The sequence below is a fragment of the Homo sapiens genome, chromosome 15, assembly GCF_000001405.40.
Source record: "Homo sapiens chromosome 15, GRCh38.p14 Primary Assembly".
In the NCBI taxonomy this organism is placed as follows: domain Eukaryota; kingdom Metazoa; phylum Chordata; class Mammalia; order Primates; family Hominidae; genus Homo; species Homo sapiens.
The window spans coordinates 20,440,322-20,456,141 of record NC_000015.10 but is presented as its reverse complement, the minus strand read 5'-3'; the positions used below and the strand labels follow the sequence as shown (position 1 = coordinate 20,456,141).

Sequence of the window (15,820 nt, the reverse complement as noted above, 5' to 3'; positions counted from 1 at the left end):
GGGAGAGAGACTCCACATTTGCCATCTCATATCCGTGGGTTCTGAGCCCACACTGTCACTTTTAGAGTTTCTTGTGGGTTTATAGATTTATCGTGTGGTGTTTCAAGCTGGTTTTCTTTTTTTTTTGGAAATTAAGTAACTTGAAAAGATTAAGTGATTAATATTCCTGTTGCTGTGTCAGGGATCCCCGAGCCTTCTCTCAGGCTTGATGATTCACTAAAAGGACTCAGAAGAGCTGTTATAGTCACAGCTGTGTTTTTACTGCAAAAAGGATACAGATTAAAATTAGCAGAGGGAAGGGTGCATGGAGGGAAGTCCAGAGGAAACTAGGCACACGCTTTGGTGTCTCTCCCCAGTGGCATCACGTGGATGTGCTTAGCTCTCCCAGCAATAGTGTCACATCATGTGTGAAGAATTGTTAACCAGGCCAGCGCACCTGAGCCTCGAGTCTAGAGATTTTGTTGGGGGCCAGTCACATACGCAGGCAGTGCCCCTGTGACTGACCTCACTCAGGCTCCAGTGCCCCAGTGCAAAAACAAGTGGTCCCTCGCAAGTCCCATCATTAGCATAAACTACCTGGCCAGACCACTGCCACAAGGTCCTGGGTGTCAGGTATACCAAAAAACTTCTCAGGCAGGATGTTCCAAGGGCTCAGAGCTCAGCTCCTAGAAGAAGGACCAATCCTGAAGGGACAGACCTTCCTTGGGAATTTGCAGGGTTTGAGCAACCCCGGCCTGCTATGTTAGCTCTTTACTGCCCAGATGTATTATCATGTTGCTTATTTTTTATATTATATGCTGAGGAGACTTAGACCAAAAATTTTAAAAGAGATAAAGTATAGGGAGGAGATTCCACATATCACAGTGAATTCAGTTGATTCAGTTACACAGTAACAGAACCACTGAACTGGACCAGGGTGGACAAGCCAGGAACTATGGGCCAAATTCTACCTCTTGCTGGCTTTGGGTTGCCCATGGACTAAGACCTTTTTTTTTTTTTCCAGTTTGAAATTGTTATTTAAAAATTAAAAGAAGTATATTATTTTGGCACATGAAAATTACATGAAGCTAAAATTGTAGCACCATAAATAAAGTTTTACAGGAGCACAGCCACACCTGTTGCTTTATCTGTGGTTACTTTTTGTGCTACAGCAGCAGAGTTGAGTATTTGCGACAGACAGCATGGCCTGAAAGACTCAAATGTTCACTCTCTGGCACTTGAGGAAGAGCTTGCTGGCTGCCGGGCTTCCCCTGCTTCGGGGCTTCTCCCCTCGTCGCACTCTCACTTTGTCTTTTTGTTCTGCCAGGGTGATCATTTCACTCTTGTTGTTGAGCATTGCAATTTATAATGTTGTTCAGATGTTTATTTGAATGAAATATTTGTCCTTCATGTAAATCTAAATATGTCTTAATTTAAAATTAATATTTAAGTGTATGATTTTTATAGTGAATGATGTTTTAAAACACAGTTCCTAAGAAGCCAGAATCTACGGATGATGAAGAAAAAATTGGAAACGAAGAGAGTGATTTAGAAGAAGCTTGCATTTTGCCTCATAGTCCAATAAATGTGGACAAGAGACCCATTGCAATTAAATCACCCAAGGTGCGGTATTTTCTGTGATTCTGAGGTTGGCTGAATAGAATCGTAGCATGTAGCACAGGAATCCACAGTCTTGTACCTCTGTACCTGAGCATCTGGAGGGAGGGACGGGCGGTTGTTAGAAATACGGCCCCAGTGATGCTTCATGAACTTGACTTATGATGTCCTGGTCAGAGCTGTAGCTGGAGAAGGGTTTCCTTTTATTTTTGGTATTAGATTGTATCATTAATTATTCACCATTCATTCCTTAAATATATTCTTTGTTCCAGAAACAGTGCTGGGCCCTGTGGCTGTTAATATGAACCATAACTTAACTTAGTATGCCAAGCTAGCCTGTTCCAACATATAGTATAGAGATTATAAATTCACTTATATTTATAGCATAGTTTTAAAAACATGTATTACTAAATTTAACGTATTTTAACCAATTTAAACCCATAAGCATTATTTATATTTTACTTGAATAACTTTTAGAGCACAGTTTATTATTAAATAGGGTAGACTAATGATGAAAATTGTTTTCCTTTGTTAGGACAAATGGCAGCCGCTGTTGAGTACTGTTACAGGTGTTCACAAATACAAGTGGTTGAAGCAGAATGTGCAGGGTCTTTATCCGCAGTCTCCACTCCTCAGTACAATTGCTGAATTTGCCCTTAAAGAAGAGCCAGTGGATGTGGAAAAGAGAAAGTGCCTACTAAAACAGGTAACATTTGATGAGAAATGCTTCTCTGCATTGGGTAATATACATAACACTTAACTGTATGCATTGATATTTTGCAGTTGGAGAGAGCAGAGGTTCGCCTGGAAGGGATAGATACAATTTTAAAATTGTATCTGGTGAGCAAGAATTTCTTACTTCCATCTGTGCCGTATGCGATGTTTTGTGGATGGCAAAGACTTATTCCTGAGGGAATCGATATAGGGTAAAATGTTAGCATATTTTTTTCTTAATTAAGGAAGCTGTGGCAACAGAATGTTTTTCTGTAACAGTTAGAAGTCTGGCAGTGTCCCGAGTCAAATTCTTTATCTTTATTTGAAAGGGAACCTCTTACTGATTGTTTAAAGGATGTTGATTTGATCCCGCCTTTTAATCGGATGCTGCTGGAAGTCACCTTTGGCAAGCTGTACGCTTGGGCTGTTCAGAACATTCGAAATGTTTTGGTGGATGCCAGTGCCAAATTTAAAGAGCTTGGTGAGTCAATAATTGTATCAATGTTATTTTATAGTTTGCCTTTAATTATATGTTGTGGAAACTTGCAAATGCCAATTTTTGCTTTTGAGAAGACTTTAATAAGTTTGTACTTTGTACTTGTATAGTCTATGCTGCTGTCAGCTTTCTCAGATTTTAAACAAAACTTTAAAATTTAGCAGGAGACACAATGTTGAAGTACTCTAGTATAACATTTTTACATTTTGACATTTTTATGTGTATCACCACATATCCTAAAGTGTCTGTGTCCTATATTGATATTTATTTCCTGGATAGTTTGAGCATCTACAGAGAGTTGATTGGATTGGTTTTGTGGAGGAAAAGTGAGACATAACTTTTATATTTGAAATGGAAGGAATGGAATAGGGCACCGGTGTATTCAGAGAGCAACATACTAAGTCCTGTAGACAGATGGAACGACCTGTGCATAGAATGCAGGGGGTAGGCCCATCGTGCAGCATGACAGAGCTGCCCACTCTGTGGAAACCACTGAAAAATAGTCAGATGTTTAGAGTAATCGCCCGTGCCTTCTGCATTACGTTTATGCTTGTATCCATGCGAGAGAAATGTCAGTGGGTGTCAAAATAGTCAGATGATTAGAGTAATTGCCCATGCTTTCTGCGTTACGTTTATTCTTGTATCCACGCACAAGAAATGTCAGTGGGTGTCAGTGCTTATTAGTCAGATGTTTAGAGTAATTGCCCGTGCTTTCTGCATTACATTTATTCTTGTATCCATTACAAGAAATGTCAGTGGGTGCCAATGCTCACTAGGTATCCAGCCGGTTCCCCTGCAAACCATCACCAATGAGAACCCATCGGGACCGAGCTTGGGGACCATCCCGCAAGCCCACTTCCTCCTGGTGATGCTCAGCATGCTCACCCTGCAGCACAGCGCAAACAACCTTGACCTCCTGCTCAATTCCGGCACGCTGGCCCTCGCTCAGACGGCACTGCGCCTGATTGGTAGGTCTGCACTGGCTTGAGAGCCTTTGGGAAAACGTCAAGATTTTGCTTTGATTTATTTTCTTTCTTTTTTTTAAAAAAAGCTTTTTGTAAATTATGGTAAGACACAAATAGCAGAAAGTGTAGCATTTTAACGTCGCAATTCAGCGGTATTAAATACATTCACAATTTTCTAGAGTCATCACCACTGTCTAGTTGTAGAACTTTTTCATCACTATAAATGCACCCCATTTAGCCATCAGTCCTGACTCCCCTGCTCTCCAGCCCCTGGTAGTTACAAATCTGCTTTCTCTGTCTATGGATTTGCATATCCCGGATATTTCATATAAATGGAATCATACCATTTGTGGCCTTTGTGTCTGGGTTATTTCATTTGGTATATATCAGTACTTTATTTTTATGGCTGAAAAAGATTTCATTGTATGAATATATAACATTTTGTTTACTCATTTATCTGTTGATGGACATTTGGGTTGGTTTTGCCTTTTGACTTTTGTGAATAGTGCTGCTAGGAACATTTATATACAAGTACTTGTTTGAACACTTGTTTCTAGTTCTTTTGATTATACACCTAGGACTGGAATTACAGGGTCATATGGTACAACTATGTGTAACTTACTGAGAAACTACCAAAGTTTTCCACAGTGCCATATCATTTTTACATTCCCATCACCAGTGGGCAGGATTCCAGGGTTCCAGTTTCTCTGCTTCCCTGCCAACACTATTTTTTGTGGTTTTCTTTTTTTTTTTGGATTAAGGCCATCCTAGCGGGTGTGAAGTGGTATCTCATTGTGATTTTGGTTTGCATTTCACTAATGATGAATGACATTGAGCTTCTTTACATGTTTGTGCTTGTTGGCCATTTGTATATCTTCTTTGGAGAAGTGTCTATTCAAGTCCCTTTCTCTTTATTTTTTATTTTATTTTTTTGAGACGGAGTCTCACTCTGTCGCCCAAGCTGGAGCGCAGTGGCACGATCTCGGCTCACTGCAACCTCCGCCTCCCGGGTTCAAGCACTTCTTGTGCCTCAGCCTCCCAAGTAGCTGGGATTACAGTCACACACCACCACACCTGGCTAACTTTTGTATTTTTAGTAGAGATGGGATTTCGCCATGTTGGCCAGGCTGGTCTGGAACTCCTGACCTCAGGTGATCTGCCTGCCTTGGCCTCCCAGAGTGCTGGGATAACAGGCGTGAGCCACTGCGCCCAGCCCCTTTCTCCTTTTTAAATAGGGTTATTTGTCGTCATCTTGTTGTACCAATAAATGCACTATATAAGTGTATCAAACCTTTAAAGAAGAATTAACACCAGTCCTCAGACTCTTTAAAAAGTTCGTGTATACTAGACCTTCACAGATCTGTAGACCTTTATCAGGTATATCATTTGAGGGTATTTTCTCCTGTTCTCTGGATTGTATTCCCTTAGATAGAGAAGTTTTTTATTTTGATGAAGTTCAATTTATCTGTTTCTCTTTTGTCGTCTATGCTTTTGATATCATATCCAAAAAGCCATTTCCAAACACAAGGTTGATGAAGATTATCCTCATGTTTTCTTCTGTAAGTTTTATAGTTTCAGCTCTTATATTTAGATCTTTGGTCCATTTTTAGGTAATTTCTTTTACACAGTGTGAGGTAAGAGTCCAGCCTTTTTCTTTTGTTGATCTGATTGTTTCAATACCACTTGTTGAGGACTGTTCTTTCCCTGAAGTTCTGGGTACCCTTGGCAAAAATCAGTTGGCTGTGGATATTTAGGTTTATTTCTGGACTCTCAATTACATTATCACATTCTATATGTTGATAATTGTGCAGGTACCGCCCTGTTTTGAACATTGTAGTTTTGTACTGTTTTAAAATTGAGAAGTGTGTTTTCTTTCTCAAGATGATTTTGGCTACTTTGGGTCCCTTGCATTTTCACATGAACTTCAAGGCTGGCTTTTCCATATCTGCAAAAAAAGACCATTGGGATTTTTGCTAGGGATTGAATCTGTAGATTGTTTTGGGGAATAGTGCCATTTTAACAATGTTAACATCCATTCTCTGAATGTGGAATGTCTTTCCATTTATTTCTGTCCTCTTTAATTTCTTTCAGCAATATTTTATTGTTTTACAGTTATCAGGGTAATAATGGCCTCATAGAATGAACTAGGTAGTGTTCCCATATATTCTGTTTTTAGAAGAGTTTGAGGATTGGTGTCAGTTCAGCTTTAAATGTTTGGTAGAGTTGACCACCTAAGCTTTTCTTTGTTGAAAGATTTTTTTTTTTTTTTCTTTGAGACGGAGTCTCACACTGTTGCCCGGGCTGGACTGCAGTGGCGTGATCTCGGCCCACTGCAAGCTCCGCCTCCCGGGTTCACGCCATTCTCCTTCCTTAGCCTCCTGAGTAGCTGGGATTATAGTCGCCAGCCACCACGCCCGGCTAATTTTTTGTATTTTTAGTAGAGACGGGGTTTCACTGTGTTAGCCAGGATGCTCTCGATTTCCTGACCTCGTGATCCACCCGCCTCGGCCTCCCAAAGTGCTGGGATTACAGGCGTGAGCCACGGCGCCTGGCCTGAAAGATTTTTAATTACCGATTCAATCTCTTTACTTGTTATGGCTCTATTCAGATTTTCTATTTCTTCTTGAGTCAGTTTGGGTAATTTATGTTTCTAGGAATGTGTCCATTTTATCTAGGCTATTTTATTTGTTGGCATACAGTTGTTCACAGTGTTCTTTTATAATCTTTTTTATTTTTATGTTGGTAGTACTGTCTCCACTTACATTTCTGATGTTAGTTATTTGCATCTTTTCTCTTTTTTTTCTTTTTTTTTTTTTTTTTTTTTTTTGAGATGGAGTCTCACTCTGTTGCCAGGCCAGAGTGCAGTGACACAGTCTTGGCTCACTGCAACCTCCGCCTCCCGGATTCAAGTGATTCTCCTGCCTCAGCCTCCCAAGTAAGCTGGGACTACAGGCGCCTGCCGCCAGGCCTGGCTAATTTTTTTTGTATTTTTAGTGGAGATGGGGTTTCACCATGTTGACCAGGATGATCTAAATCTCTTGACCTTGTGATCCGCCCACCTCAGCTTCCCAAAGTGCTGGGATTAGAGGCGTGAGCCACCTTGACTGACCTCTTTTTTTCTTAATTTACCAAAAGTTTGTCAGATTTTTTGTTCTTGCCAGAAACCGAACTTTTGGTTTTGTAGATTATTTTTCTATTCTCTATTTAATTTATGGCTGCTCTAATCTCTATCGTTTCCTTCTTTCTGCTTTGTATTTTTTTGTTTTTGTTTTTGTCTTTGTTTTGAGACAGGGTCTTACTTTGTCCCTCAGGCCCAAGTACAGTGGCGCACTCATGGCTCACTGCAGCCTCAACCTCCTGGGCTCAAGTTATCTACCTGCCTCAGCCTCCCAAAGTGCTGGGATTACAGGTGTGAGGCACGACACCTGGCCTAACTTTGGTTTTTATTGTGTTCTTATTTTTTTAGTTCTTCCAGATGTAGAGTTATTGATTTGAGATCATCTTTTGTAAATGCAGACTTTTATAGTATAATTGCCCCTTTTAGCCCTGCTTTTGGCCCAGCACAGAAGTTTTGGTGTGTTGTGTTTTCATTCATCTCATAGTATTTTCTAATTTCCCTTGTGATTTCTTCTTTGACCCACTGATTGTTTACCATGTGTTGTTTAATTTTCATATACTTGTGAATTTTCCACTTTTCCTTTTGTTATTAATTTCTCATCATTTCCTTTTGGTTGGAGAAGGTAACTTGTATGATTTTCGTCTGTTTAAATTTGAGACTTTGTGGCCTAACATATGGTTTGGTCAGTCTAAGAGAGTAGTCCTGTGGTATACTTGAGAAGAACGTGTATTCTGCTCTTTTTGGTGAAATGTTCTGTATATGTCTATTAGGTCTGATTGGTTTATGGTGGTGTTCTTTGGCTAAAACTGAGATGCTGCAGGGCCAGTTGTCAAAGTCACAGTGAAAAAGCAAGGTTTTCCCAAGCTCTTATAATCACATCAGTTTTAGAGTTCACATTAATCCATTCAAAAATATGTATCAGGCCAGGCTGTAATTGTAGCACTTTGGGAGGCTCAGGCGGGTGGATTGCTTGAGCTCAGGAGTTTGAGACCAACTTGGGCAACATAGCGAAACCCTCTCTCTACAAAAAATACGAAAATTAGCTGGGCATAGTGGTGTGTGCCTGTGGTCCCAGCTACCTGGGAGGCTGAGGTGGGAGGATTGCTTGAGCCAGGGATGCAGAGGTTGCAGTGAGCGGAGATCAAGCCACTGCACTCCAGCCTGGGCTCCAGCCTTGGTGACAGAGTGAAATCCTGTCTTGGGGGTGGGTGGAATCTTTCTATCTATCTGTCTGTCTGTCTGTCTCTCTCTCTCTCTATATATATATATATATAATTATTTTTTAATTTATATATTATGTTTATATGTTGTATTATGTTAAATATATATTTTAATATGTGTATTACAGCTGAAAAGAATCATCTAGTAAGGGTTATATCTGATTTCCTGAGGCCTCATTAGCAACCAAAAGTTGCATTTAAAAATTACAAAAGCATATCTCCATCGAGAAATGGCCTTTTTATGTTGTCTACTTTTCCCCCAGAGGTTCCAATAAGTAAAAATCACAGCACAAATCATTAAGTATGGGGACTTGTTCTGTTGATAATATTCATGTGTTTAAATTTCATCTGGCCCACTGGCTGCAAAAAGCAAGGAAGTTGTGTCTCATGAATATCCGTCTATATTTGCAGCTTGCCCTGATCAGGGTATCCTTCTTATCATTTAAGAAATTATAAACATATAATATTTTATACCAGCTTAATGTATACATCCACATGTAACAGCCACAAAACATAAAGCTATGTAAAATAAAAAAAAATTCCCCCCGGTTTTGGTTGCAAATTTATTCAAGCCCTTAGCAATAAATTCAGTCTTTACAGAGTTAACAGTATAGCTGCCCAGGGGATCCTGGGAGATCCACCTGGAATGCAACTCCTGTCCCTTCCTTGGGGCCCCTTCCTGGGGGCCCTAAAGTAGCGGCTAGGCTAAAGGAAAGGCTGTTTCTCCTGCTAGTTTATCTAAAGTTTTGCTCCAGCCCTGGGAATTGAATATCCTTTTTTGTTCTCTTGGAAGAGAGAGAAACACAAACTTTTTACATTTTTTGGTCCACCCCAGCCCACCTTTGGGACTGTTTGGATCTTTTTCCCTCCCACCTGGAGGAGAAAACTAAAATCAAGGGAGTTACCAGAACCACACTCCTACCCCCTCTCAGTTTAGCAAGTGGGAAAAGGGGGGTTAAAAATCTAGCCTACTCTCCTAGGGTTAGCGCTCCTATTTTCAGATCCATTGGGAAGTTTTACTTCTCTCAGGTGACAGCAGCTCGGCTTCTGTTTTGTGCTATGGATGACTCTGTAGCCACCCAGGGCACCAATTGTCAGGGGTCTCCAAGACCACCCCCAGGTTTGATGGTTGGCCAGGAGGACTCACAAGACTCAGCATGTAGTTGTACTCAGGGCTATAGTTTATTACAGTGAAGGGACACAGAGCAAAATCATGAAAAAGGACATGGGTAAAGTCCAGAGGAAAGCAGGTACAAGCTTCCACAGGATCCACACAGGACGAGCTTAACTGCCCTGGCACCGAGCCGTGTCAAGTGCTGTCTGCCGGGAAGCTGGGTAGAGACTCCAGGCCCATGGTTTCCATCAGGACTGATCACACGGGCACCCCCTGCCTGGCGTGTACCAAGTTCCAGACTAAGGAAAGCAGGTTTCAGCACAGACCACATTGTTTGTACAGACAGTTCAGGCACAGGGAACCACACCTACCACCTAGGGAATGGGGGAGCCCTCCTGAGATCCAGACTCCAGCTGAGGGCCAGCCTGCAGCAACCCTGTCTGAGGTTGTATCTCGGGCCAGCTGTTAGCTGTCTTCTGCACAGAACCATGATTAAAGTTTGTTAGTTTCCCACTGTTAGATATTTAGGTAGTTATCTTTGTTTTTCTATTAATAAAAAATGTGATGAGGATCTTTCTAACTCAGTTATTTTGCTTTTTTCAGGGGAGTAATTCCTAGAAGTAGAGAAAGTAGCTTTACTGAGCATTTTAATATCTTTTATATCTTCCTAGGATATTTATGTATTTCATCCTTCCGTTTATCTTCTTTTTATCCTATATCAGTAAAATATTCATAATATTATATTGATAAAACATATAGTATGGATTGTTCAAAATTACGATCTTCATTAGTACTTTGTGAATGTTTTGTGTGTATTAAGGGGACACTGTAGCTACTTGTTGGCTCAGCTATTGTTTTTGATGCTCCGTCAGGCCCCAGTTGTGACAGCGTTGAGGAAGATATGAATGCTTCTGCTCAAGGTGCTTCTGCCACAGTTTTGGAAGAAACAAGGAAGGAAACGGCTCCTGTGCAGCTCCCTGTTTCAGGGCCAGAACTGGCTGCCATGATGAAGATTGGAACAAGGGTCATGAGAGGTGTGGACTGGAAATGGGGCGATCAGGTACTCAGAGATTTGATGTGAACACATTAGCCACACATTAGTTATCTTCTGCATAGTTCTGTACGATATTGGTGGGTGGAAATTGGAATAATCCAGGATGTGTCAGTTGATCGATGACACAGGTGTTGGTTCCCGAGCAGCTGAAGGGAGTGAACACAAACAGGGAATCATAAGTAGGGCATCTGAGCAGAATCAAGTCTGGAAAGAGAGGCAGCTCTTTTCAGGAAACTCACTGGCATGAGGCTCAGTTTGATGGGTCACTGGAACAAGAGTGTGAGAGTGAGCAAGAGAGTAAATCTCATTCTGAAAGTTGGTGTAGTGAAGGCTCTGAGGCAGGAAGCCCAGATGCTGCCCCTGTGGGCTGATGGCCATGTGCTGCGAAGTGCCCTGAAGCCAGTAGTTAGGGATCTACTTCATGGGCCTGTGGCCACGTTTCCATCTTCCCTCATCGCAGATCTCTTCTAAATCTCTGCCAGGTGCCCCCAGGTGGAAGTCACTTACCACAGCCCTAGCTAAGTTAGGGCAGTGTTCACCTTCCCATGGTCTGTCTGGCTTTTCTCAGCCACGCTGGTAAGCCCTGGCTTTGTCACAGTCATCTTAGAAATAGCAGTGTCTGGAGACAGCATCCATCCTAGAAACAGCTTTCTCCTGCAGAAGTGAGAGACAGAGCTTCCCCCTGGGGCCCAGGGGAAACTGAAGCAAAGGGAATGTGGAGGTGCTGGTGCTTGTTTCAGGTTTCCGCTCTTGCAAGGCCCGTGAGGGATTGTGGGGACAGGACTTGCTGCAAAGCCCTGTCTCTGCATTGACTCAGAGGATCCTCATTGAGATGAGATTTCCCCGACTTCCTTGGTAAAGCAGCATGAGCACGTTATTTTATGCCATTTAATTTAAAATGATGCAAGCACACATTTTGTAGGAGAGGTGAAATCTGTGTCTGGGGACAGCCCCTGACAGACAGGGTGGCATATGGCGACATCTGTGTGGCAGGTCTGGTGGGAGCCATGGAAGGACCAGGGCAGGGCACGCACCCTCCTAACTGAGGTCTGGTGGGAGCCATGGAAGGACCAGGGCAGGGCACGCACCCTCCTAACTGAGGTCTGGTGGGAGCCATGGAAGGACCAGGTCAGGGCAGGCACCCTCCTAACTGAGGTCTGCTGGGAGCCATGGAAGGACCAGGGCAGGGCACGCACCCTCCTAACTGAGGTCTGGTGGGAGCTATGGAAGGACCAGGGCAGGGCACACACCCTCCTAACTGAGGTCTGCTGGGAGCCATGGAAGGACCAGGGCAGGGCACGCACCCTCCTAACTGAGGTCTGCTGGGAGCCATGGAAGGACCAGGGCAGGGCACACACCCTCCTAACTGAGGTCTGCTGGGAGCCATGGAAGGACCAGGGCAGGTTACGCACCCTCCTAACTGATCTCTACTTTGGCTTTCTCAGGATAGGCCTCCTCCAGGCCTAGGCCGAGTGATTGGTGAGCTGGGAGAGGACGGGTGGATAAGAGTCCAGTGGGACACAGGCAGCACCAACTCCTACAGGATGGGGAAAGAAGGAAATTACGACCTCAAGCTGGCAGAGCTGCCAGCCCCTGCACAGCCCTCAGCAGAGGATTCGGACACAGAGGACGACTCTGGTGGGTGACTCAGGAAGGTGTTTAGTCCAAGGCAGCCTACAAACTGTCCAGTTGCTGGGTGCTGCCACTGCCATCTGGGCCTTAGAATGGGATGTCAGGACACACCTGCAGCTGGCGCTCTGTCCTCGGAACCTGTAATTTAAATAAGCTCCCAGGCACCTCCGATGCAGGTGTGTGGAGTGACTGTGGGATCCGGCGATCTGGCTGGAACTGACTTTCTGCATTTTCCTCTCATGTGTGCACCCGCCCCTCTTTGAGAATGTGGTGGCCAGGTGGGGGCAGCTGCATCACCAGTGAGTCTCATGTGGTTGGTGCTGAGCCTGCATCTGAGCGAGTGAGCCGAGGCCTGGTGGAATTGCCCTGCGGTCTCGGTCCATCGCGTCCTCCTCCAGTGAGAGCCCCTGCCCAAGCACACCCCACCTGCCACCTGCCTTTACCTTTCCTCTGTGGTCCCTGACTCTGAACTCTTCATGTAATGTGGAGTTAGTCAGCACTTTATCGCTTCTAGGGAAGCAGAGGTGAGAATTTAGGGGTGGACCAAGAAAGCTAGATCCTATCTGTGGAGATCCAGGTTGTGGGAGGAGGTTTCGTGACATTTCTTAGCTGTTCCTAAAACACGTGAAGCTTCACATGGTTGGGCTTGGTAAGACCATCCAAGAGGCTGGGGCTGCCAATATAATTTGTAATTTTGATTATTTTTTTTAGAAGCCGAACAAACTGAAAGGAACATTCACCCCACTGCAATGATGTTTACCAGCACTATTAACTTACTGCAGACTCTTTGTCTGTCTGCTGGAGTTCATGCTGAGATCATGCAGAGTGAAGCCACCAAGACTTTATGCGGACTGCTGCAAATGTTAGTGGAAAGCGGAATGACGGACAAGACATGTATGGAATGAGAGATCGAGGGCCCAGGGAGTCAGCGCTGGGGGCCGCACGCTTGTCGTGTCTGGGTGTGCATGTGGGTGGGTGTGGATGTGTGTGGATTCCTTTCCTGTGGCTGCTGTAACAAAGTATACAAACTTGGGGACTTACACAGTAGAAATTCTCACGGTTCTGGTGGCTGGAAGGCTGAGATCAAGGGTAGTTCCTTCTGGGGCTGTGAGGGAGAAGCTGCTTCAGGGCTCTGCCCCAGCTTCTGGAGTTTACTGGTCTCTTTAGCGTTCCTCGGCTTGTAGAGGTGTCACCCCTATCTCTGCCGTCATCTTCACATGGCATTCTCCCTGTGTGTGAGTCGCCTCCAAATCTCCCCTTTTCATGAGGACATCATTCAACCTCATCAAACTGATTACATCTGCAGCGACCCTATTTCCAAACAAGGTCACCTGCCGAGGTACGGTAGGGGTTAGGGCTTCAACATACGAATTTTGCAATTCTGAATTCAACCCGTAACACTGGCTTCAAACAACAAATTTGTTCTCTCAGAGTTCTGGAGACCAGAAGTCCCAAATCCAGGTGCGGGCAGGGCCATGCTTCTTCCACAGGCTCTAGGGGAAGGTCCTTCCTTACTTTGTCCAGCTTCTGGGAGCTCCAGGCTTCCTTGGTGTTGGGACGCATTGTGCCAGTCTCTGCCTGCGTCTTCACATGGCCCCTGCCCCTGTGTTCTGCATGTCCTTTTCTGTCTCTGAAAGGACTCTTTCATTGAGTTTCTTTGACTCTAATCCAACATGATGTCACCTAAATTCTTACCTTAATGACGTCTACAGAGACCTCATTAAATAAGATCATATTCTGAGGTTCCGAATGTATGTGAAGTTGGAGGACAGGCACAGTTTAATCCATAAAGTGTTTGTGTGTGTGGAGAGTAAGTATGAGAAATGTGAGCTGAGGGAGTGGGGTGAGTGTGCATGTGACTGAGAGTGAGCACATGTGAGTGTGGGTGGGTATGTGGGCGTCCTCCAGTGTGTGTGAGAGCATGCGTGTATTAGTGGTGTGCTGGAGCGTCCGCACATATTGATGAGAGTGAGTGTGTTAGCGGTCGATGGGCAAGTGGCTGAGCGTTTGTGTTGCAAGTGTGATGGTGTGTTTGTAGCATGTGGTTGTGTGGGTGTGTGTATGTCCATGAGAGCATGTGAGTGGGCAGGTGACTACATTCAGGTGAAGTGGGAGTGAAAGCGTCGGTGCATTGAGCCAATGTGTGTGTGTGAGGGTGAGCACGAGGGAGGCATGAGTGTGAGTGTGAGGGGATTACTGGGTGTGCAAATGAGACACCCAGTGTAAGTGTAAGTCAGTGAGGGTTGGTGAGTGTGAGGAAGTATGAGTGGGTGGCAGGCACAAGTGTAAGTGTGCGATTGAGTGTGAGCATTTGTGTAAATGTATGAGTGCCTTGTGTCAGTGTGAGCACGAGTGATGTTATTGTGAATGCGTGTGAGTGAATGTGAGCATTTTGCTTGTGTCAGTGAATGGGAGGTTATAACAGTATAGGTGTGAGTGTAAAGTGAGAAAGTGTGTGGGTAAAGGTGTGAGTGGGTGAGTAATCGGTCATTACTAGTGTTGAGGAGTGTGAGTGCATATGTGAGTTTTTGTATGCATTGGGAGGGGTAAGTGTATGTGAGAGTGCATGGGAGTGTGTGTCAGCTTGCATCTGTTTGTGCATACGTGTGACTGGGATTGTGTGTGTGTGATTGCGACAGTGGTGTGAGTGCACCTGAAAGTGTGAGGGTGGGTGTATGAGTGCCCATGAGTGTGTCTGAATAACTTAGTATCAGTGTGAGTGTGAGGATGCATATGAGGGTGTGAGAGTGAGTGTGTGTGTGTGTGAGCGCATGTGAGTGTGCTGAAGGAAGGCAGTTGTCCTCATAAGCTTGGATAGCTGAGGGCAGGGTGGGGGAGGTGGGAGGGAGAGCAGGTCCTGTGGGGCTGTGGGCGGGGTCCCTCAGGGGGCCCAGCCTCCAAGCCTCAGCTTCCATTCAGGGAGTAGTGGAGTCCTGGAGCCAGGCGGAGCAGAGGTGGGCCCACTGGTGCCAGAATCCAGTGGTGTAAACCTAGTGAAAAACTCATTTTGTTAATGCAGATGCATTAAACTTGGATTGGAAACTGTCTCTACTAAAATTACAAAAAGAGTATTTAAGTGGTGCAGATTAAATATAACCAAGATTGTGGAGATATTTAAAACACGAAATTAAAAATATAATAGATGCACTGTTGCAAATTACTATTTGAATTATAGATCATTTTCCTATTGCCTAGAAACAATACATAGCTAAAATTCCCTAACTACTTTTACGACACATATTTAGAAGGTTTTAAAAATGTCTGTAGTCCCAGCTATTCGGCAGGGCAAGGCAGGAGAATCACTTGAGCCCAGGAGTTTTAGACCAGCCTGGGCAACATAGTGAGGGCCCATCTCTAAAAAAAACAAAAAAAAAGAAAACTTCGGAAATGTTTCTTGAACTAACTTAAAAGCCGCCTTCCACTTCTCACTTTGAATTAGTTTGAATTAATTTACAAACTGCAATATATTTTAAAGGAGCTTATTGTAGAAAATAAGTTGATAAAAAAATAAGGATATATCTTTAGGGATTTGTCTTTAGGGACTTGTTACCAAGCATGTCTATTTTCCCTCCCGCCGCTTCTCCAAACAGGCTGGTGTACAGGGAGCAACACCGGAGCTGGTGCACGCTGGGGTTTGTGCAGAGCATCGCTCTCACGCTGCAGGTGTGCGGCACCCTCAGCTCCCTGCAGTGGATCACGCTGCTCATGAAGGTCGTGGAAGGGCACGCACCCTTCACTGCCACCTCGCTGCAGAGGCAGGTAATGTGCTGCCAGGCAAAACCAGTTCCCTGAGAGAGGCCTCCATGTACTGAAGTTCCCTGCCCTCAGAGTCAGGGGCCTTTATTCCGTAACGAGTGCAGAAAGGGTCTAGAAGTGACAGGGTAGATTTTCTGGAGGCAAGGGGCAGAGGT

General features: G+C 44.3%; 1 pseudogene across 1 annotated transcript in view; it reads left to right on the top strand.

Moving 5' to 3' along the window:
• Positions 1-15,820, top strand: part of HERC2P3 (HERC2 pseudogene 3) — a 97,785-nt pseudogene that overhangs the window by 50,039 nt on the left and 31,926 nt on the right. The window contains exons 11-19 of the transcript NR_036432.1: positions 1,469-1,602; positions 2,132-2,302; positions 2,380-2,522; positions 2,640-2,791; positions 3,583-3,774; positions 10,096-10,283; positions 11,723-11,915; positions 12,621-12,771; positions 15,500-15,668. The product of NR_036432.1 is annotated as an HERC2 pseudogene 3 (transcript). The remainder of the gene's footprint in view (positions 1-1,468; positions 1,603-2,131; positions 2,303-2,379; positions 2,523-2,639; positions 2,792-3,582; positions 3,775-10,095; positions 10,284-11,722; positions 11,916-12,620; positions 12,772-15,499; positions 15,669-15,820) is intronic.